Here is a 23,877-nt window from a genome sequence, read left to right as displayed (position 1 = left end):
AAATTCAGGGGAATCAAGGCAAACTACATGTCCTCAGGAAAGATATTCATCTTACTGTGTCTCATTTTCCTCATCTGTAAAATGCAGTAACAATACCCATCCTCTCTCTGACTCACCAGACTTCCATAAGGAGGAAAAGAGAGAGCTGACACCCAAGGCTTATTTCTCATTCAAACTTTTTGTTCTGTTTGATCCTTCTCACTCAGTCATTGACGGCCCCACGCAGATCCTGGTTCGCGATGTCTCGGACACTGTGGCTTTTGTGGAGTGGATTCCCCCTCGAGCCAAAGTCGATTTCATTCTTTTGAAATATGGCCTGGTGGGCGGGGAAGGTGGGAGGACCACCTTCCGGCTGCAGCCTCCCCTGAGCCAATACTCAGTGCAGGCCCTGCGGCCTGGCTCCCGATACGAGGTGTCAGTCAGTGCCGTCCGAGGGACCAACGAGAGCGATTCTGCCACCACTCAGTTCACAACAGGTAAGGCTGCGGTGGGGGAGAGACGCACAAGGAGGGAAAGAGGGGTGGAGCCAACCGGTGGTGTCATCACAGCAAGAGGAGTATTAGGAATGAGGCAAGGTGTGTCAGAGCATTGGCCTTGTCATAGACACCGCGAGAAGGAAGCAAGAGGTTTCCAGCATACAGGAAAAGCAGCGCTCCCTCACTAGGAGAGGAAAACTAGCTTCTCATCCTACCTCTACTGGCAACCAGATCTGTGCTTGATATAAATCCTTCCCCACTATGGGCCTCAGGTTTCCCGTTTGTAAAATGACAAGTTTGCCTTGAACACATGTAAGCATCCATATCGCTAGTCCAAATGGAAATTTTGTGAGAATTCAGGAAAGGTGTCTCTTTCTCAAGACACATTCTTACCATTTGCTGGAAATTATCATAATAATTCTATAAACCTACGATGACTACACCACCATGATGATGTGCATTGGCATTATGCTAAGCCCAGCCTGTACAACTCTAAGCAGAACTTCTGACCAATTCTGTGACTCACCTTGCCGTTTGTAAGCACTAGCAGTAAGGCTAATATGAGGCTGACTCCCACAGACAGGAAGTTCATAAAGCCCATATAAAACCTGCCTTGCTTTGATTACCACCCACCCCCACATTCTCAAGGCCATTGGGACTCTTAAAGAGCTTTGCCAACAGTTGGGAAAGGCCAGACCTCGGGGTGACTTGCTCCCTGACTCTCTCAGTGCCCATCAGTCTGGCCAGCTAGTGGGCTAGTAGGACAGGCACCATCCAAAGGACAGGCTTTCTGGCACCCTCAATTGGGTCAATAAGGGCCTGTGATCAGATTAGTGATTGTGTCTGTCTTCTGGATTCTCAGTCTCATCCTCTTTGCCTTGGGGTGGTCACATGTCAAATAATATCTCTGCCAACTCCAAGTTGACCCAGGGATCAATGAAAACTGATAACATCTGTAAGATCTAAGAACCAGCATCTTCAGATGGGATAAAGTTGGAGAATCACTAATTCAAGAATTCTACCTTAGACTGTGGCATAAGAGCCTGCTACAGAATGGAATGAGTCCAGGGTTTTCAAGAAGATTCAATAAATAAATAACACCCCTGTGTTCCGCTGGGTTTAAAATCAATTGATAAATAAGGGAAAAAGTGAAACAGATGGACACCAAAATGTCCCCTAGATTGCAGCATGTAACTTAGTGTCATGGCCAGATGGGTTTGCAAACTGGATGGCCACTGTGGACCTAGGCAAGTCTCTCCATATGGCAGAAATTGGGAGACTATCCAGGTTAGGACTTAGAGCATAGAGGAACAAGTAGGTGCCTGAACCCTCGGAACAGCCTGTCCCACGAGAGAGGGGAACAGAAGGGCAATGCCCAGGCCTTGCTGCAAAACTCACCATTTAGGTAAGCTCATTTTCTCCAGCAAAAGAGAGACAAGAGCCTTAGGAAGGAAACATCAAGGGCAGGGAAAAGCTTCCCCCTTAAAAAGGAGCAAGTACAGACACTGACAAAATGGAGAAGGCAAAGTTTATTTCTGAAAAATACTCTTTTAGGTTTTCTCTGTAGTGCCTGGGCCAGATGCCACCCTGTCACCCAGGGGGTGCCCAGTGGGATTTTTACTGAACATATCTTGGAATCCGGAGTGACCGAATGTGCATCTTGAAACAATGAACTAAATTCTGCCCATTTCTCTTCCCTTCTGCTTCCTCATTTAGCCAAAGATGCTCACGTCCCTTCTTGGTTAATTCTAGGTCAGCTTCTCATTTCCCACCCCCACAATACCACTTGCTCCGGGGTGTGGTATCTTCTGTGGACAATGAGTCCTGCATCCTTTTCTTAATTTCAAGATAGTTTTGTTTGAAAAGTGGTTTCTTTGTGCTCTGCTCTGATAAGAAGTTTGAAGCGGCAAAAAGGAGAGGAGAGCTCTTGAGCAGCATGATGGAAAACAAATTCTTGGTGTTCAGGTCGACAAGATGGAAGCAGGATTGGCTGGTGGCCCAGGAAAATTCTGATCAAGACAATTACATTCTGCCTCCTAGGAGCTCCCCATGAGTTTCAGTTCATTGCTACATGGCTTTCTGTTTCCAGTTGCCTGGTGGATTGGCAGCTGTCAGGCGGCTGACTTCTCAATACAGCCTCAGCCTACACCTCAAATATGCTCCCCTCTGCTGGAGGAGGGTGAGGGGAAAGAAGGGATGAGGAGATGCAAACAGCACTGCAGACAGATTCTCCAGGCCTGGGTTGGCAGGTGCCAGTTAAATGATGAGAGGGTACCCAGACCCTCATGATGAGGCCCTCAGTCATTTCAGAGCTCCGCTTAAATTCAAATTAACCAAAGTGCTTTTCCAGGTGATGGCTCCGACACTAGGAGTGCACTAATTGCACAGGCAATTAAAGCAGAGATTTGCTTCCTGCATGGTGAGTGGATATTTGCTTGGGTCTTAGAGCTGTTCTGAAAAGGAAAGAACCCTGAACAAAGTGCACCATGGCCGGTGATTGGAGAGAAGCCAGCCTAGAAAACCCAGAGGCCAATCTCCAAAACCCCTCCCTGCCCTCAGCAGCTCTGGTTTCAGTTGCCCTCAGGAGGGAACTCCTGGCACCATTTCTCTCCTCTGGAGGCCTTCTCTTTAAGCAGATCCCTCAATGTTCCAAGCACAGTCACCAGGGCATCTGGTCAACCAGAGGCTGCTGTTTTGACCTGAATACTCCAGATTTCTCTTTATTGCTATTATAGGTTGAATTGTGCTCCTTAAAAAGACGTTGAAGTCCTGATCCTGATGCCTGTGAATGTGACCTTATTTGGATATAGAGTTTTTGCAGATCATCAGTTATCATGAGGTCATTAGAGTGGGCCCTAAGCCAATATGACTGTGTCCTTATAGAAAGGGGAAATTTGGGCACAGAGACAGACATGCCCACAAGAAGAACACCATAGTGAAGATGAAGGCCGAGATCGGAATGATTCTTGATTCTTCCAGAAGCCAAGAAACGCCAAAGATCACCAGCAAATCACTAGCAGCTAGGAGAGGCATGCAACAGATTCTCACTCACAGCCCTCAGAAGGAAGCAGCCCTACTGACACCTGTACCTTGAGTCTGTGAGACAATAATTTTTCTTTTTTTTTTTTTTTGAGATGGAGTCTCACTCTGTCACCCAGTCTGGAGTGCAGTGGCATGGTCTCAGCTCACTGCAACCTCCGCCTCCCAGGTTCAAGCGATTGTCCTGCCTCAAGCCTCCCAAGTAGCTAGGACTACAGGCACCTGCCACCATGCCCAGCTACTTTTTGGATTTTTAGTAGAGATGAGGTTTCACCATGTTAGCCAGGATGGTCTCGATCTCCTGACCTCATGATCTGCCCGCCTCGGCCTCCCTGTGTGCTGGGATTACAGGAGTGAGCCACCGTGCCCAGAGAGACAATAATTTATATTATTTAAGACACCCAGTTGGTGGTACCTTGTTATGGCAGCCCTGGGAAACTAATAGGAACTTCCAAGTCCCAACAGTTCAAGCCCCTAGCTGCTTGGCAGTGATGCCGCTCTAGGACTCTTCAGGAAATTCTTTCACAATTTCAACCTGGATGATACTTGCACCTCAGCCAAGAATCTGGCTGCAAAGAGCAGGGTAGGACTTCCTGCTCATACAAGACCAGCACCCTCAGTCAAAGCTATCCTTTTTTCTGCACCTTCTCACCCCAAGCATTCTCAATGCTCCACAGCTGAAATATTTAACAAGACTTTTCTACAACTTGATGTGTGCTTATCGAACACCTACCAGGTGCCAAGCACTATTCTAGGCACTGAGGCTACAGAATAAACAGATAGACAAGATCCTGGTTCACATTAATTACATTCCAGTGGAGAAACTGGACAAGGCAGAAGAAAATAAACACCCAAAATTATTTTGATTATGAGTACTATAATGAAAAGCGAAATAAACGGTACAGAAGCGTGGCCATGTTGGATCAAGCGGTTTGAAAAGGCCTCTCTGAAAAGGTAACGTTTTAACTGAGACCTAGATGACCTAAGCCATGTGAGGATCTGGAGAACATTCCAGGCAAAGGCAGAAGCCAGTGCAAAGGTCCTGAGGTATGAATAAGCTTGATGAGTTTCAAGAGCAGAAAAAAAGCAATATAGCTAGAGCGCAATGAATAAGTTTAGAAGTCGTACATGGAGATATCTGAGAAGCAGGCAGGGCCGGATCACTCAGAGCCCTGCTGGCTACAATTAGGAGTTTGTAAAAGGAAGCAACAGAAAAGTTTTAAGCAAGGGAATTACTTAATCTAATTTATGTTTTAGTGGCTAGATATGTCTATTCCATAGTCTCAAGTCTCTCCACACAGCCTCCACTAGACATCTGTCTTTGCCTCGCTCTTGACTTGCTGACGTTGCAGGGAACAGCTCCCACCTACAGGGGTGCCCTTGGTGGCCCCAGTCTCCTAGAGGTCAGACTTCAAGGCCAGAGGGAGCAAACAATTTCACCTTGTCCTAGCTCTAACAACCACCTTTCCAGACCTCATTCTCAGGATTGACTTCTTTCAGGATCATTGACATTGGAGGTATCTGGTCCCTTCAGAGACAACACTTCCCCTTAATCTACAGACCACAACCCCTATGATCAAAAATACAAAACAACAACAACAACAACAAAAACCATAGTTTAACATTTCCAAGGCCTGGGTTTTTAGTTGTGAAGAGCACTAGGTAGAAGTCTCAACCTTAACCCTAAACCTAAATTAATTTTGCCCCAGTTCAGTTCTAGCTGCACACCCCAAGCCCAGTCCAGTCCCTTTGCCCAGCTTCTCCTCATGCATGAAATTTAGGGGCAACAATGCAGGGGCAGGTGTTCCTCCACATGCCTCTCTATCCAAGCTCCTCTCTCCATCCAACTGCTGGAGAAATAACACACATAACACGTCAAGAATACATAGTATCTGGCAAGCTAAAGTACAGTGAGTGAGGAAGAATTTCTCAGGAAAACAAGCTGCAGAGCCATAAATCTGCTAAAAGATTCACCCAATTTACATCGCTAAACAGAACACTTCTCACTCCAAAGCCTCTGCGCTCACATTGATTCACGGCATTTCAGTCTTCCACAAGAACAATTGGTGGAAACTTGCCTTGCTTTTGCATATTAAAACAGTCCACTCGAGGTTTTCTCACAATGAATGGCTAGTTCACTCCAAAGTTAAATTCAAGTGTCAAAGGCAAGAACTATTTTAAACGTTTTAAGTGACAGTTGTTCCGGGCAGCACGTTATTGCACTGCAAGTTGTTTATGCTGTTTCTGCCCAAAGCAGCTTGAGGAGATAGCCAGTCCTGGGAGAAAAAAAGCAGTGTCCCCGTCGTCTCTTTGTGGCAACTGCAGAGAACAAGCATTGTGGTTGATGGAACTCAGGAAAAGCTTCAGAGGCAACAGGAAGCCAGCCCAGGCCTTGGGCACCTTTTTTTTTTTTTTTCCTTTGGAGACAGAGTCTCACTCTGTGGCCCAGGCTGGAGTGCAGTGGTGTGATCTCGGCTCGCTGCAAGCTCCGCCTCCCGGGTTCACACCATTCTCCTGCCTCAGCCTCCCAAGTAGCTGAGACTACAGGCGCTGGGCACCTATTTTTGTACAGATGCCCATGGATTGCCTAATCCATGCAACAACCTGAAAATGTTGGTATGATTTGCCCCTTTTACAGAGGTGCCATCAAGGCCAAGCAGGGTTAAAAGACTTGCTCATGGTTCCATTACCAAAGATGTCAGAGCTGGGGATCAAACGGAAGCCTGACTCCAAAGCCTATATTATTTCTGCTACATCACATCCTCCATATATGTCTTACCTTTACAGCTGTGTTTATTCAAGTAAACACAGAGGAAGGCACCTTACACTTCAAAACCTTGAAATCAACAGTCTTCTTTTTGTTTAGTGGTCAAATTTGATATTGTTCTATTCCATCTCCATCACTCGGGAGCTGGCTCTGATTTTCTCCTCCTGGGGTTTCCCTTGTTTTGTTTTTAAGCTTATGATGTTGACTGGTTCCTTTTAAAGTTTCTAGAATGCCACTGGAACTCTTGAATGGAAATGGGGGAAGCATAAAGTGTATTGATCTTCAGCTCCCAAGTATCACTCTAACCTGCCCAAGGAATTTGTCACAGCAGACCAAAAAGCTAAGGGTAGCCACAGTGTTCATTCAAATGTGAGCCAGAGGGTCAGGGGGTGTGGGCTGTCACCACCAATCTTTTCAGAGTTCAAGATGCACCACAAATGTACATTACATTATCATGTGCGATGTTGGTGATGTCTGTCTATTTTTAGAGATCGATGCCCCCAAGAACTTGCGAGTTGGTTCTCGCACAGCAACCAGCCTTGACCTCGAGTGGGATAACAGTGAAGCCGAAGTTCAGGAGTACAAGGTTGTGTACAGCACCCTGGCGGGTGAGCAATATCATGAGGTACTGGTCCCCAGGGGCATTGGTCCAACCACCAGGGCCACCCTGACAGGTGAGTAAGACCTATCTCTTGGGGTTATGCTGGTTGCTGAGTCTATACCCTCACAGCTGTCTCCCCAACCTACACATCTTACAAACCCATGGCCAATTCCTATTGATCTCATCTCTTAAGTGCCTAGCACATATGTCTAGTACTATCCATTGTACTGCCATCACCTGTTCTAAGCTACTAACATCTCCTTTTTTTGAGACGGAATCTCTCTGTCACCCAGGCTGGAGTGCAGTGGCACAATTTCAGCTCACTGCAACCTCTGTCTCCCAGGTTCTCATCTATTATCTTAACCATTGCAATAACCCCCTCACATTGTCTCCTGGCCCACTCTTCACACCTCCTCCAGTGACTTTTTTTTTTTTTTTTTTTTTTGAGACGGAGTTTCACTCTTATTGCCCAGGCTGGAGTGCAGTGGTGTGATCTTGGCTCACTGCAACCTCTGCCTCCCGGGTTCAAGCGATTCTCCTGCCTCAGCCTCCCAAGTAGCTAGGATTACAGGCATCTGCCACCACGCCCGGCTAATTTTGTGTTTTTAGTAGAGACAGGGTTTCTCCATGTTGGTCAGGCTGGTCACAAACTCCCGACCTCAGGTGATCCGCCCACCTCGGCTTCTCAAAGTGCTGGGATTACAGGTGTGAGCCACTGCACCTGGCCTTCCAGTGACTTTTTCAAAGTACATTTTTGATTATGCCATTGCACTGTGCAGATATTCCAGGGAATTCCCACTGCTCTTAGGATAAGCCCAGACCCTTAGTGTGGACACCAGGCCCTGCCTGGTTTCCCCTGCCCTCTCCAGGCTCACCTCCCACCCATGTTCCCTGATGTTTTCTGGGCTCCAGGCCCACAAGTCTGCTTCTTTCCATTTCTCAAATACGTTTTCCCTCCTGCTATATAGGACTGGCAAATGCTGTTCCCTCTGCCTGATGGGAACCTCTTCATCTAGCCAATGCAGGCTTCCCTTTCCACTCCCAGGTTACTCCCCACTTTAGGGAGCTTTAGTGGTCAAATTTGATATTGTTCCTGAGAGAGTTCCATTCATTCTGTCCGGCAGCTTCATCTTGCCAGTTTCCATTCACTTCTTAGCACTCCTCAGGTTATCATTTTACATGTGTGGCATGACTATTTGACTGTCAGTCTCCACCCTACACCTAAATCTCTGTGAACATTGCACCATATTTGGTTTTGCTCATCATTGAATCTCAGGGTTCACCATTTCCTGAATGAATGAATGAATGAATGAATGAATGAAGCTGCAGAAGTTCACTATGACTTGGGCATGGATTGCAAGAATTCACTGATAAAATGAGAGCCGAGTCATGCCTTATGCACCCGATGAAAAGTTTAGGTTTATTCTTGAGGGCAACAGAGAGTCATTGAAAGATTTTAAATAAGGTGATGTAATGACTGGATTGTACAGAGAAGGGCAAGGTCAGAGGCAGGAAGACTGGTTAGGAGGCTGCTGCTGGAGTCAAAGGGAGATGATGATGGCATGGACTAAGGCAGTGTCCTCGGTCACCATGATACCTGGCTGGGAAGTGTTCCCTGTCCCCTGGGAATGTGAGACCCAGGCAACACCACTCCTGGGGCCTCTGGCTCACCCATCCAAGAAAACCTCCCTTCCCAAACTCACCAAAGAGTAGAAGACTGGAAATGGGGGTGTGGTTTTCAGATAAAGGAGATGCTGTGCAGAACAGTCATGGACCAGGAGCTGCCAATGTGCTCACAGACAGAGATTTTGTTTAATTTGTGTCTTGGATTCCTGCAAAAGTATTTGCTGTCTTGATAGACAAGGGATACACAGCAAAGAGTGCATACGGTAAACAAGGGCAGTATAATCAAAGCAGTTTTCCTCCCAAGTTGAAATCCCAGACCACCTTGCCAAACACAGCCAGTTAAAGTAAATATAATAAATGCCTTTTCCAGACAGACGCACTCCTAAAGGCACAGCAAGGAGATGAGAAGATATGCTGACCAAGCAGATTAACGGGGGTGAATTAAGCAGAGAAAGGATAGACCAGCTGGCATAGGGCCTCGCAGAGAGCTAGAAACAGTCACAAAAATTAAGCTAAATCCAAAAAAAAAAAAAAAAAAACCCTGAAATGATACAGGAGGGAACTGATTCTAAGCGCAGCCCATCCCTGCCTAGAGCCGCAGGCTAATTTGGTAATTAGCAGTTATATAAAATCGATGGCTAACTGTTCAGATGGAGGATGCGCCATGACATCATGAGAGAGATAGAAAACCCCACGTCCTAGTTATTATTTCCCTCTACCGGGAAAAAAGAAGATCCGACACTCACTGATCATCTCTCTTATTCCAGGAACTCTCATACAGTTATAGCTTCTTTAATCTTCACAACCACCTCATGAGGTGGGTATGGTTAGCATTCCCATTTTACAGATGAGGAAACTGAGGCTTGTGGAGTTTGAAAACCTGCCCAAGTTCACAAGGCTAGCAAGGGGCACAGCTGTGATTCAAAGCCAGTCCTTTCGAGTCCCAGTCAGAAGATTCCCCTTCCACAGCTGCTTCTGCTAAAGAAGTAAAATGTAAGGGACAGTCCAAATTTAAATGCCACAGACCTAGAAGCGATGGGAAAATTATTATTGAGTAGGGGGCTTAAATAGGTTGATTTTTTGTTACAGTCAGATTTAAAACATTTCAAATATATGTGTATATATATATATATATATAATATTACATTTATATATTACACATAATTATCTCAGGGAGTTCACTGCTGAGGAGATTTATGAGGCAAATAGCTTAACATAATTTAAGAAGGGATTATTGGCACATAAGGAAATCAAGTGTATTTGTACTCGCTGAGATGCTAGTTGCAAGGATTGTTGGTTCTCTTGCTGAGGCATCTGGGGGAAGAGAAGGGAGAGCCATGAAAAAGAGAAAGGGACAAAAGGGAGAAGTTTGACTCTGGCTCTAAAACATTGTGCTTTCTCACTCACTCTCCAACTTGGAGCGTAAAAAGTTAAGTTTTTCAGCCTCCAATGCCTGTGTTCAGACACAGTTTGATCTGAATGCTCTGCTCCATGCAACATGCTAAGAGCCTAGACTTTCAACTCTGTACCCAGGCTTGCCACTTGCTGTGTGATTTGGGACAGTTGATTGAATCTTTCTAAACCTCTGTTTCTTCATCTGTTAAAGGGGACTGATACCACTGACCCCACAGTGCCATCATGAGGCATTCATGAGGCAATACATTTAACGAGTTTAAGGTAGTGCTTCTGACAACAAACTACTCAGTAAGTGGATGACAGTGGTGAAGACGAAAGAGATGAGGAGGTCTGTGAGCTACTGGATGGTTTAGGATGTCCTCCTTTAGTCCATGTGGCCTAGTGGTTTAGAACCTTGCCTCTCACAGCGTGGTGCAGCCACCAGCAGCCTGGGCATTACGCCCAGAGATGTTGGAGGCCTCTTCCCCCGAGAACTACCAACCCAGAGCCTGCATTTTAGGACCCCTGCTTCAAGGAAATCTATGAGTGAGAAGCACTCACTTAGAGCACAGCTGTGGAAGTACCCCACTCAGGGGGGAGACCAGCTTCATGAAAAGTGCATCCTTGAGCAAATTTCTTAAATTTCCTGCACTTTAGTTCTCTCATCTAAAAGACATCCTATCTACCTCATTGGGTTGTAGCGAGAATTAAATGAAATCATACATATATCCCTATTCAAGAACTTAGGATGGAGCCTGGCACACAGTAAGCACTCAATACCCATTCAATTTTTTATTGGTATTAATCCTCACAAAGCTCAGACCTGAAGCCGTGGCAGCCTGGCCTTTGCTGGGCACAAGGTCAGGCCCCCTTTACTCTCACTGTTGACTCAACACTTAAAGCTCTATGGCACCTGTATTTGCCATTCCCTGCAGAAGCCGTTGTCTCTGAGGCCACCATTTTCCTCTTTGTTGTGGAATCCAGGCCCTTCCTGACTCTCCTGGTCTCTGAGACATTCCCAGAGCTGGCTGGCAGCAAGTACCCCCTCTTGACCTCCCTCTTTACAAATGTTGCCCTCTGCCACACAGAGTCCAGGCTGGTGCCCAAAATTCAAACACTCCCCCCCCATTATTCTCTGTAGGCAATGTCCAGAGAATTCCTTCTGGGATATGAATTTGTTTCTGAACAACAGACTCAATGTCTGCAATGACTTTTTCTCTCTGCTCTAGTGGCTTCTGTGTCCTTAATAAGTCTGTTTTAGTCTCAGTCACTTAGCCTGTATGATGTCTGTTTGGCCTGTGCACCATACCTATAGTCCCAAAGGGGTCCTTGAGTGTTACACATCTTACCAGCCAGATTAGAACCTGGCACCATGTAACAGGGTACAATACCATTCTGCTTTCTGGGCAGCAACAAAAAAAAAAAACAACAAATCATTTAGAAAACTCCAAGTGGAAGGAGGGAGGGAAAGAGAGAGAGAAGGGAGGGAGAAGATTTTTAGTTGCTGATTGCAATTTAGCGAAAAAAATCAACTTCCCTGACTGGGACTAACGCAAATTATAAACACTACTCTGGCCTTTGTGTCCAAGGTGACTGCTCTAATCTTTCATCAAAAAGGCATGTGGTTGTGTTTTAGCAGGAGGGGAGGGGGCTTGCCCTAAGCCATCCACTCTCTCTCACCTGGTCTTCCCTCATGAACAGAAGCTTAGGATCCGTAAGGATTCTCATGACCAGGAAACAAGGCAAAAGGAGCCAGGCCCATACGGTCACAGGAGCACCGTGCTCTCACAACCACCCAGGGCCCGTTCATCGCACCCCTTACCCACTCCACAGGGCACCTGCCTTAGGCCTCATGGTGGCATTTGCTAACCTGCTGCCTCTCCCTGCACCAGGACTATCTCTATCTCCAGTTGACAAGCTGAAAAATTGCCAACAGGGCCTAGGAAATCCAGAAGCTTTACAGTTTCTACAGATGTGATACAACATAGGACTGCAAGAAAACAGAGACTTACAGCCAGCCACACATGATGCACTCACACTCACCACATGCACACATGTACACACAAACACACCTACAGACTCTTGCACTTACACTTAAGCACATATGCACACTCACATGCACATACACACATACTCATACACACATGCACACACTCATAGTCATACACACCACACATGCTCATGCCCTCATACGTACACACTACACTTTCACATACCCTCACACGTACACACACTCACACACGCTAGGCTGATGCCTGCAAGTACGTCCTGATCATGCTTTGGGAGTTGCCGCCTTCAAGGTTTCTGGCCCAAATGGGGATCTAGTGGTGAGAAGGTCGGCTCCTCAGGGTACACTGGCAGGCCACGTGCTTGTCTGCAGGGGAAGAAATCTGAGACTCCAGAGGGAGTCCAGCTGGCAAGTCAGCACTGACCACGGCACTCAATGTCCACCTCGCTATGTCTGCACTCCCTGATGGGCCAGTGCACAAACACCAAACCCAGCACCAGACCTTCAACGCCCTGCAGCTCTTCTGAGGAGGAAAGGACCAGGCACAGGGCCTGGGGTCCCGGGCCAGACAGTGCTCAGCCTCCTTTGGGCGAAGTCACAGTGACCCCAAGTGGTCACTTTGGTAAGGCACCCTCTAAACATGGTGTCACCTTCCAGGGGCGGGAAGCTGGGGAGTGGGCTGCAGAGACCCAAGTTGAAGAGGAGGAAAGAAAGGACAAAGGCTTCCACATACCTCTTCCTCACGGAGCTGGGACATACAGGGCCTATTCCTTATTTGTCTTAAAGGCTGGGGATAAGGGGGCTGGGGGAAAAGCCAGGTGGGAATATTTCAGCTGCAGCTTCCACTCCTCAGCAGGGAGTACTTGTTCACAGCAACAACCCAGAATAGGGATGCTCCTATATGACAAGGTTGATGAGCTGTGTTTCTCATTAATTCCACCAGCAATAAGAAAGTTCCATCTGGAAACAGGCCTTAGAAGTATTATTTTTCTTATCAAAAATGGGCTTGTTAGGCCAGTCCCTTCCTTTAAATCAGGATGGAATTGGCTGCTTCTCTTGAAACTTGAACATCATGCACACCCAAAAAAGCAGGGAGATGGCCTCGAAAGCCTGACTCATTCCAGGAATCCTGAAGATGCACCTGTCATTATCCAAAGAGATAAGTGTGGGGAGGCTGACTGCTCAGATCTCCATTTAACTAAAAAGTAGATTGGTGCCTATCTGGTGTGATTTCAGGGGCTCTCCAAAGATATTCTCCACATATCTCCCCCATGAAACCTCTGGTCTCCAAATTCCACTGATGGGAAATTTCTCTATGAGGGACCCTATATTAGTCCCTGGGTTTTCATGAATTATTTTGCCAGAGCTGCCTTTGCATGCCCTGTTTCCTTTGTCTGGGATGCCCTCCCTGCCACCAGATGTCCATGGGTCCTTCAAAACCCAGTCCAGATATCCTCTCTTCGGAGTCTCCCCAACACTCCCCACCACCACCGCTACTGCCACCAGCACCATGCTGCTTCTGTGCATGTTTTCTCACTATACTACATACTGAAAAAAATAAAATCTTTGACCCAAAGACCTAAGAGTCTAGTGAGGAAACCAACATGAAAACTAACAATAATAACATAATCACTATAAAAATCGCAGATTGACTGCAAGTTCCTTGGGGACAGGGTCCTCAGTTTGTCCCTCTCTGTGAAGGTAGGCACCCAGTGCACTAGGGCCAATCACACCCCTAACCTCAGTTTCATAGACTTGAGCTTCACAGACACTTGGGAGATGATCTCAGGGATTTAAAGATGGAAAGGTCCATATTTCCTCATGTCCACTTGATCCCAACCAAGTCTGCAGACCCCAAGTATCTTACTCATGTTTTTGCTAGCAAGAGACAGCAATCTCAGTTCCTTGGGCCTCCTTCTCCCTACCACTTTCCCTGCTAGCGACAGCAGGCATGAAGAATAGGTTCCCAAAACAGGGCTAAGTGAGTCATTCTGCCTTTATCACCACAGTCCTTGCACTGCAGGTGAGAATGTGCTAACTCCTGTTCCTTTCTAGCCCTAATTAATCTATGAATGCTCATTATGCCCCATTCTGGCCACTAGAGAATTCCATATTTCCTTCCCTCTATCTTTCCTTATCTTAGCCAGCTTTAAGTTCCAACTCAAATGCCTTCTCTGGAAAGACTTATCTGACTATTACAGCCCATGCTGATCTTCTCCCTGCTGATCGTGTCCTCTTAGTCCCATGCTGATCTTGTCCTCTTAGTTAGCAGCCTCTGCTTTGGTCCTGCATTAGTCCATTTGCATTACTATAAAGGAATACCTGAGGGTGGGTAATTTATAAAGAAAGGAGGTTTGACTGGCTTACAGTTCTGCAGAGTGTACAGGAAACATGGTGCCAGAATCTGCTTCTGGTGAGGGCCTCGGAAAGCTTACAATCATGCGGGAAGCCGGAGGAGTAGCCCGCGCATCACACAATGAGAGAGGGAGCAAGGGTTGGGGGGAGGTGCCACACACTTTTAAACAACCAGATCTCACGAGAACTCACTCACTATCTGGAGGACAGCTCCAAGCCATTCATGAGGGATCCACCCCCATGACCCAAACACCTCCCACTGGGCCCCACCACCAACATTGGGGATGGCAATTCAATATGAGATTTGGAGGGGACAAGCATCCAAACTATAACAGGTACCAAATCACTCTCGAATTCCAAGTTGCTTACTCCACTCCTTCCTCCTGGCCTGTAAGACTCAGGGATGGGAACCATGCTATCATGAGTCAGAAAATAACAAGAGACTTGGGTTCCAAACCTAGTTGTATCATGTATCAGTTTTGTGACCTTGGCCAAGGAATAGACTTCTTGGAGCCCCTGTTTGCTCATCTGCAATACCCTATCAGTAGTGCTTCAGGGAAATTAAATAACGTGTGAATCTTTAAGAAGCTCAGTAATACTTGCATAACTCTTTACCATCAGACACTCAAAAAGTCTTCATTTTTTACTTCTCTTTTTCTTCCCTCCCCTTCGTCATTATTCTTTTCCATGTAGCTTAGTGCTAGGCATATTATGGGTGCTCACTAAATAATTATTTTACTTTTTTAGCACAGATTCCTTTTCACCCCCAAAAGGCAAGGCTAATGTCTTGTTCAGCTCACACCACCTTGTGTCTGACACAAAGGAGGCCCTTAATATTTGTTGAATGTATGACTGTGCTTTAGGGGTTCCAAGAAGAATGGGTGTGAGGTGAAAGAGTTGAGAAAAGCATCAACCTCCAAGTTGAACAAAGAAAGTTCTATAAGGAACAGAGAGTAGTGATTTCCTATGGGATGAATTTTCTGTGCTATTGTTAAGAAAGGGAACAGGGCCATTTATATGTTACCACTTGCAGGAGTTGGATGGAGAGATAAAGGGGGCATTGATAGAGAGCAATGGGGTCTTTAAAAAGTGAGAAATCCCTAGGAGTACTCAGAGTGCTGATATCTAAGTGCACTGGCTATGCCTCGGATACATGTGGTTTTTTTTTTTTTCCAGCAGAACTGTGTCTAACCTGCTGGCAAAGAGCAACAATTCACTTGTAGCATGGAAGAAAGCTGCTGAAAATCAAAGGAAAGCAGCAGGCACAAACCTATAAGCAAGTCCCACTTTTCCATCCTCTAGACAGAAAACCTGGGAAGAGAACACATTAAATTCTGCTCTGCAGTTTTCTGGGAGAAGATGATTCCATTGTAAATTATTGAACATTTCATTTAAGCTTCATAAATAAGAAACTGGGATGAAAATGTTACATGTTAGATCTGTTTGGCAACGTATAATTTCTGTCTTACTCCCTCCATCTGTCACCCTTCATCTATGTTGGAGAATTTCTACTTCATTATAGGCAATTGAAGGTCTTAATCAGTTGCCTGATAAAAGTAGTTTATGTCCCAAAGGTAATCTCATTTCTGCAACCAAGGATGTACCTGGAACTCACTGAACATATTGATGGAGATAAATGTGTGCTTCAAATGGATCAGGGGGTATTGCAATCACCCACTCAATCTAGAGATAGGTACTTGGCCCAGCCAGGGAGAAGGTCCTCACTGCCACCTGGACTCCCTGAATCACTGGTTTCCAACAGAGCCAACAGGCTAAGCCCCAGCAAACCAATAACAAGAAGTCAACAGGTGCACCCAGGACCGGCCTGTACTTGCCTGGGGCGGTTTTTGTAGTTGATGAGACCACTCACCAAAAAAAAAAAAAAAAAAAAAAAAAAAAAAAGTACTCAAAATCCAGGAATAGTTCTCTGTGCAAAGTAATAAAATACTAGCTACTACCGCTAAGATCCAGGCACTGGACTTTAAACACTTTGACTCATATAATCCTCATGATGACCCTCTGATATAGATGCTGTTTTTATTCTCATTCTTCAGAAATTGAGGTTCATAGATGTTAAGTAATCAAAATTACACAGGTAAAAAGTGAAAGAGACCAAATATAGATATGTCAGACGTCAAAGTCTGTCAAACTTCAAAGTTTACCTCCACTGGTGTTGCCACTTTAGAGAAAGAAAGAATTAAGGGTTGGGAAAGAAAGGGAGCTGGTTTAAGAAGAGAAAAAAGAGGGCTGATTCGAATGCCTACCCAGACAGGGCTTCGGGACTGCATTCCTGGGAGAGAAACTGGCCTGGTAAGCTCTGCCATGCTTAAGCAACATTTATTGCATGGACTCCACAAAAGCCTACTGAGGAAGGGGATGAAGAACCCCCTGGCTGCCAGGCAGCATTCCTCTTGACCAAGCCAAGCCATTTGTTAAAGGAATGTTGCTCAAAGTATTTCCGATCAAAATCAGGGATTCCAGAGAAATCACAGCTGCCCTGAGCGGTGGAAGGAAGTAATAGGATGTCCCATTCCTCCTAAAAGCCCTGAACTCTGAGACCAGAATCCGGGGGGGCATCTCTAGCTGGTCACAGACTTACTCCGTGCCACAGTTTCTTTTTATAAAAAGATGATGTACTCTGTTGAATAACAGTCCCCTCAAAATGCATGTCCACCCCAAACCCTTATTTCCAAATAAGGTCTTTAGAGATGCAGTAGAGTTAAGATGAGGTCATACTGGATTAGGGTGGCCCCTAAATTCAATGTGACTGGTGTGTTTATAAGAAGAGGGGAAGACACAGACACACATGTGTCTACAGAGGCAGAGACTGGGGTGACGCAACTACAAGCCAAGGAATGCCAGGGAGTGCTGGCAACCACCAGAACCTAGGTCTCCTAGAGCCTTCAGAGGAAGCATGGTCCTGGCGACACCTTGATTTCGGACTTCCAGACTTCAGAACCGTGGGAGGACACATGTCTGTTTTAAGCCACACTGTGTGTGGTAATTTATAACAGCATCCACAGGAAGCTAATGTAGATGGAGAAAAGACTGCTTATCCCACCTTCCTCCCAAGGTTGTGATGAGACTCTAAAACACAATCCATTTTGAAAAGCACAGATGTTATATAAATACAGAATACCATTCCAATCAGCCATGAGCCCACACAAAGCCCCAAAAAGAGCCTACCGGAAGGACTCAGACTGACCACTGGAGGCCCTCAGGGTGATCACTTGATTTTGTTGGGTTTTTTTGTTTTGTTTTTGTTTACTTGTTTGTTTGTTTTTGTTTTTTTGATACAGAGTCTCACTCTGTCACCCAGGCTGGAGTGCAGTGGCATGATCTTGGCTCACTGCAACCTCAGCCTCCCAGGTTCAAGCGATTCTCCTGCCTCAGCCTCACAAATAGCTGGGACTACAGGTGCACACCACCACACCCGGCTAATTGTTGTAATTTTAGTAGAGATGGGTTTCACCATATTGGTCAGGCTGGTCTCGAACTCCTGACCTCAGATGATCCACCCGCCTTGGCCTCCCAAAGTGTTGGGATTACAGGCATGAGCCACCGTGCCCTGCCTTTGTTGGGTTTTTCTACAACCCCAGTCCTAATAGATAAAAATGAGTTTGATGCCAGTTGTAATAGATGAAATAGCCCTCAAAGAATCCCCAGCATCTGTGAATATAACCACCTTACAGGGCAAAAAGGACTTTGCAGGTGTGATTAAGTTAAAGATCTTGAGAAGGAGAGACTAGCCTGTACTATCCAGGTGGGACCAACATGATCGCAAGGATTTTCATAAGTGGATGTAGGGAGGTCAGAGTCAGAGTAGATGCAATGATAGGAGCAGAAGTCAGACAGAGAAAACAGATTTGATCGTTTCAAGCTTCTGGCTTTGAAGATAGATTAAGAGACCATGAACCAAAGAATGCAGGCAACCTCTAGAAGCTAGAAAAGGCAGGGAAATGGATTTTCTCCTAGAGCCTCCAGAAGGAAGGCAGCCCTGCTGAACTACTTTAGACTGCAGACCTCCTGAACTAACTGTAAGAGAATCCACTTTTGTTGTTGTAAGTCACTAAATTGTGGTGATGTGTTACAGCAGCAATAGGAAACTAGTACACCAGTCAAACCAGTTAGTCTGAAAATAAATGTGAAAGAGGTCAAGGAGAGAACCTAGAGAATTCCAGATATTCTAGGAGGTTCTCAGAGATCCTTTGTAGTAAACCTCCCAAAGGATTTCCTCAGAGAAGCTTACACCCTTTAGTGGGACAGTTTTTGTGTCTCCTCTGTCTTCCTGGACTCCCCTGAAAGTTATTCTAAAATTAGATCCACAGCTTTAGATACCCTGAGGCCTGAATTACTGAACTTGGCGGGGGGCCTACAGCAACAGGACTTCTGCATGCTCCTACTCGACAGCCCTGTGCTTAGAAAAAAAAGTCCATCCACTGTTCCTCCCTAGAAGGGACCCAGGAGTCCCCATATGGCCTCAGCTCCTGTAAAAGGTGTAGCTTGGTCCTTGTATATAACATTCAAGGAATGCTTTTCAGGTCTATGTCCACACTGTCTCTCTTGATTACATACTCCCGAAATTCACAATTTAAGCAAGAAATCCTCTCGCTGGTTCAAGCCAACCTGAGACGCTAAGCATACAAGGAGTCCTTGTATACTTATGTGAGCACACCTCTGAAGGTCACTGACAAGGCAGCCTCACTGCCTTCCCAGAGAGCCTGCCTGCAAGAAGGAAGCTCTGCGTGGGCTGGTTCATCCTATTGACTTGGGATTCCTAAATAGTGAAATTGGGATTTCTTAATAGTTCAAATTAGGAGAGGATTCAAGGAGGACTAAACACAAGATATGAATAGGAGTCTAAGATCATTTTCTTCCCACTTTCAGCCTTCCTAGCCCTGCCCCATACACAGAATAATGTTTGTTTCTCCATCCACTGATAGATCTGGTACCTGGCACTGAGTATGGAGTTGGAATATCTGCCGTCATGAACTCACAGCAAAGCGTGCCAGCCACCATGAATGCCAGGACTGGTGAGTAGGAGGACTGCTGAGGAAGAAGACCAGGTTAGCCTATAAGCCTAAGGAGTCATGGAGGCTCGTCCCAGCAAAAATTAATCAGAAAGCAATGTCTTCCAGTGAACAGGGCTCTGGTGACAACTGTCAGCCTAGAAACAACATCCACCCTATGCCTAATCCTTGATCTCTGACAGGCAGGACAGAGTCACCCTCTTCCCCACAGACCTGTGCTCGGTCCCCCGTGGTCTGAAGAGCTGCTCAGGGCTGTACAGAGCAGAGGTGGAAAATCCTAAATAGGTTGATGCCATTGCAGGCCATATTTTTATCTAGACCACCCCGACAGCAGGCAGAATGGGGCATCCTCGCCCTGCATACACCACAGAGGTCCTCACAAACGCCACTTGGGTGAAGGTCTAGACTTGCAACAACCCATTAAATCTGAGGGCAGAAGAAAAGTCCAGCTGAGACCCTTGCTGCTCTGGATTCAGCAGTTTTGCTTCCAAATCCTGGGTAAATTTCAAAGTCATTTCAGCACCTATGGTACTAGCAGCCTGGGCTGGGCTAGGGATTTTAGACCAGTCCTTGTCCCAAGGTTCAGCCTCTCTAGAGAACCACATGGACAAAAGTCTCCAGGTCCTCAGATCTAGCTGCCTGCCTGGCTATGGTTAGAACAAGTCAAAATAGCCTCAGGGTTGGAGGGTGGTGCGCTTCTGTTGCCAGGAATGGCATATCCCTACTTGGTGGTAGCTACCATTTTATCCTTATTGGCTCATTGAGAAAGGATGGGAGAAAATGAATATGGCGAGCTTGAAAATCAGCAGCCAGCTTTGTCCCAGAGGTGGATGCAATCCAGTGGTATCAGAGCTCATCACGGCTTTCTTCAGATTGTTCATCTATTTGCCAAGCCCCTGGCCATCATTCAGAGGGAAGGTACTTAGCAAAATATTAGATAAGTGTCAGCAATGACAAGCTAGTGCTCATAGTCAGCAGGCCTGCTGATAGCTTGGAAACACACAAAGCAGGCCAATAAATACTGCCCTCCAGGGGAACACATGTAAAATAGGCCATTTATGTCAATCCACAGAACTTGACAGTCCCCGAGACCTCATGGTGACAGCCTCCTCGGAGACCTCCATCTCCCTCATCTGGACCAAGGCCAGTGGCCCCATTGACCACTACCGAATTACCTTTACCCCATCCTCTGGGATTGCCTCAGAAGTCACCGTACCCAAGGACAGGACCTCATACACACTAACAGATCTAGAGCCTGGGGCAGAGTACATCATTTCCGTCACTGCTGAGAGGGGTCGGCAGCAGAGCTTGGAGTCCACTGTGGATGCTTTCACAGGTACCAGAGCAGCAGAAATCCCAGCCAGGTTCAGGGATCAGTGGATCTCAGTGTGAGAAATTCATTCAGGCAAGTCACTCTTCCAATGTTCCATTTCCTTTGGAGAAAAGAGAGGTGGGTAGAAAAGGATAGAGTAAAAACTAATAAGTGCATCAAGAGGGAAGGGTTGGAAGTAAAGAGGGGAGGTGAGCAATAGTGTTACCTGCCTGAAAACTTGTGTCTGGCTTTTCTATGGCCTTGACATAGTAGTTGATTCTGTCCATCTTTCCCTGCTGCAGTAAATCAGTGGGAATTCAGAGGATCCATGGGATCATATAAAATTCATTCCAGGATACAGGCTTTCAATCCTGGTTCAGTATTATGATTAACTCACAGAAGTAGTTCTCATTTTAACAGAATCCATTTTCCTATATTTGGATTGGAAAAAGTGGAGTGAACAGCACTGGAGGGTGAGGAGGTGGAATCTCTTGGTTAGTGGGTGAAGGTGTGGCCCTTATTAGCAAGGAGAGCAGGTCCCTTTAGCCAAGAAGTTCTTCTAGCCCAGTGACCCATCTCCTCACGTGTTTCAGGACCATCCATCTCCTTTGCTTTGCAGGCTTCCGTCCCATCTCTCATCTGCACTTTTCTCATGTGACCTCCTCCAGTGTGAACATCACTTGGAGTGATCCATCTCCCCCAGCAGACAGACTCATTCTTAACTACAGCCCCAGGGATGAGGAGGAAGAGATGATGGAGGTCTCCCTGGATGCCACCAAGAGGCATGCTGTCCTGATGGGCCTGCAACCAGCCACAGAGTATATTGTGAACCTTGTGGCTGTCCATGGCACAGTGACCTCTGAGCCCATTGTGGGCTCCATCACCACAGGTGAGGCTGGAGGACTTGGCAGCAGGTGATGAAAGGGGTTTTCACAGTAGCCTTTGACAAATCAATGAAATTTTAAAAGAGAAAGACCCAAGGAGTAGGGGATTTCCTCTATGGCTAGAGAAAGTCTGTGACCTGTTCTGAAACAGCTACTTCCTCCAGTGCTGCAGAAGATGCATTAGATAAGAAACTCCCACTTGGAAGGTGGGACAAAGTCAATGTCTTGAGGAGGTCAAAGCTTGAATGCATTTGTCCAAAAGACCTCCCACTACCAGCTTAGAAGAAAAGCACTGGAGAAAGCTAGTCTCCAAGAGGAATCCCTCTACAGTGAAGAGACACCTGTTCCTATTCTGAAGAACCATCTCTTAACTGCCCAGAAAGTTCACTCGTACAATAATGCTTCCTTAGTCTCACATGGGACTAGCATGCAATCAGGTAGTGACCTGGCACTCAGAGAATGGGGTTGATTTGGATGTTGCTTAGAAAACACAGGCACTCAGAGATGAATTGGATCAGTCCCAGCTCATTATTCCCAAACACAGTTTCAAATATGAGGTACATGTGGGTGAAGATATGTATGTTTGGGTAGTTTCCTCCTTACTAACAAGAACTCACAAACTGGACAAGTAGATTAAACACTTAGCTGATCAACTCTGTGATCCCCTAGCAGTAAAAAAAAAAAAAAGCCCATAGCATAAATGAAATACAATTTAGGAAAATGGATTTGTTCTGGACTTGTGCTCTGAAATCCCTGTATAGTCAATAGGCAGTTTTTCAAAACTGAAACCAAAGGTGGCTGCTAAAGAATAAGAGATACAGGCAAAATTTGGTTTATCTTAAAAAATTACCTCAGAGAAAATGCCTATGTTTCTCCCAATTCAAAACAAAACATATGAACTTAAAAAAAAAGTTCCTAGTTGGCTTGCAGATAGGTAACAGGTACAGAGCTTGCCAGCTTGTCTTCATGTTGTTAAAATATTCTCCATGAACATAGCTTTGGTCATACCTACAAGGTTTCAAGTGAAACATCAGCGTGACCATGGTTTTAAGATACCCTATTACATGGAAAGATCTTGTCTGCCTTTGGGACAACATTGGCTTTTGGTCAACATAAAACCAGGGATGAGAATTTCTTTTTCACACTGTGCTTTCTGTCTTTTTCCCACAATCACTGGGTCCTTGTAGGAATTGATCCCCCAAAAGACATCACAATTAGCAATGTGACCAAGGACTCAGTGATGGTCTCCTGGAGCCCTCCTGTTGCATCTTTCGATTACTACCGAGTATCATATCGACCCACCCAAGGTAACAAAGTGATTTGATTTCTCAAAGATACTAGGATTTGGGTGAAGATTATGGGAGAACTAGCATATCCCGCAGAACATCCACTCCTGCCTGCGTTTTTCCTCTTCTCTGTGGCATGCTGCATCAGAATGAGAGTGGGCTGGTGAGCAGCCAAGAAACCCCACACTCACCAATGCCTCTTGAGAAAGGCTTGATTACATTCACCCAGAGAGCAGGCCCTTCACTAGCAGAGGTAACTGATCACCATTATCTAGGCAGTGTCTTGAGAAAAAAAGAGCCCCAAAAGAATCTGCCAAGAGCTTGGGTCACATGAATATTCCTACAAGAATGAAGTTCAAGACTAGGATCCAGAGGGATGGCTAAAGACCCAGCAAAGCCAGATGGAGCCTTGGAGGGAAGCACAGTGATGTGGTCCCATTTCAGCCACTCCAGACAAGTTATGAGTCAGAGGAAACTGGCCCAGACCTCACCTGCATCCTGCCAGTTCTTGCTGGTACATGTGGCATTTTTAAGGAAGTGGAGGGCACACTCACTTCCAGTGAGGACACAGGACAGCATTCCAGACTACACTGTCTCTGGACTGTGGGGACTGCTCCTTGCATCGGTGCCCTCTACACTGCCTTAATGTCATTGTCTTAGAGAAGACCAGCTTGTTAGAAAACCACTTAATAGGTAGGTCATTTTTCTTTGCTCCAAGGAGCCCATAAAATGAAGGAGTGAGACCAGTGTGCAAAGCCTCTTCACACTCCAACATTCCCAGCCCATGAACCATGTATCATCCCTCCCCACTGAGTGCGGAGTCCCACACCCATCTGTGCTTTATTGACATAGACTGTACCATGGGCTGCTTGGATGAAAGGGCTGCTGAATTTTAACTGTAGATTCTTCTCTTCTCCAGTGGGACGACTAGACAGCTCAGTGGTGCCCAACACTGTGACAGAATTCACCATCACCAGACTGAACCCAGCTACCGAATACGAAATCAGCCTCAACAGCGTGCGGGGCAGGGAGGAAAGCGAGCGCATCTGTACTCTTGTGCACACAGGTGGGAATGTCTCCCTGCTGTGTCAAGTCAGA

General features: G+C 46.1%; 1 protein-coding gene across 2 annotated transcripts in view, besides 2 other annotated features; it reads left to right on the top strand.

The window, feature by feature from the left end:
• TNR (tenascin R) overlaps positions 1–23,877 on the top strand; it is a 428,402-nt gene that overhangs the window by 357,088 nt on the left and 47,437 nt on the right. For both annotated transcript variants that reach the window (NM_001328635.2, NM_003285.3), the window contains exons 8-14: positions 207–476; positions 6,771–6,956; positions 19,211–19,300; positions 20,370–20,633; positions 21,229–21,498; positions 22,681–22,800; positions 23,699–23,845. In NM_001328635.2, coding sequence (NP_001315564.1) covers positions 207–476; positions 6,771–6,956; positions 19,211–19,300; positions 20,370–20,633; positions 21,229–21,498; positions 22,681–22,800; positions 23,699–23,845 — 1,347 coding nt within the window. The remainder of the gene's footprint in view (positions 1–206; positions 477–6,770; positions 6,957–19,210; positions 19,301–20,369; positions 20,634–21,228; positions 21,499–22,680; positions 22,801–23,698; positions 23,846–23,877) is intronic.
• Positions 12,453–12,602: an enhancer, noted in NCBI's record as "active region_2136". NCBI's record gives its function as "activates an Ori minimal core promoter by ATAC-STARR-seq in GM12878 lymphoblastoid cells {active_cell/tissue: GM12878}" and the evidence as "EXISTENCE:reporter gene assay evidence [ECO:0000049][PMID:35858748]".
• Positions 21,557–21,606: an enhancer, noted in NCBI's record as "active region_2135". NCBI's record gives its function as "activates an Ori minimal core promoter by ATAC-STARR-seq in GM12878 lymphoblastoid cells {active_cell/tissue: GM12878}" and the evidence as "EXISTENCE:reporter gene assay evidence [ECO:0000049][PMID:35858748]".

This window comes from Homo sapiens, chromosome 1 (assembly GCF_000001405.40).
Source record: "Homo sapiens chromosome 1, GRCh38.p14 Primary Assembly".
In the NCBI taxonomy this organism is placed as follows: domain Eukaryota; kingdom Metazoa; phylum Chordata; class Mammalia; order Primates; family Hominidae; genus Homo; species Homo sapiens.
Note: the sequence above shows the minus strand (reverse complement) of the source record. Positions and strands in the feature narration are given on the sequence as shown.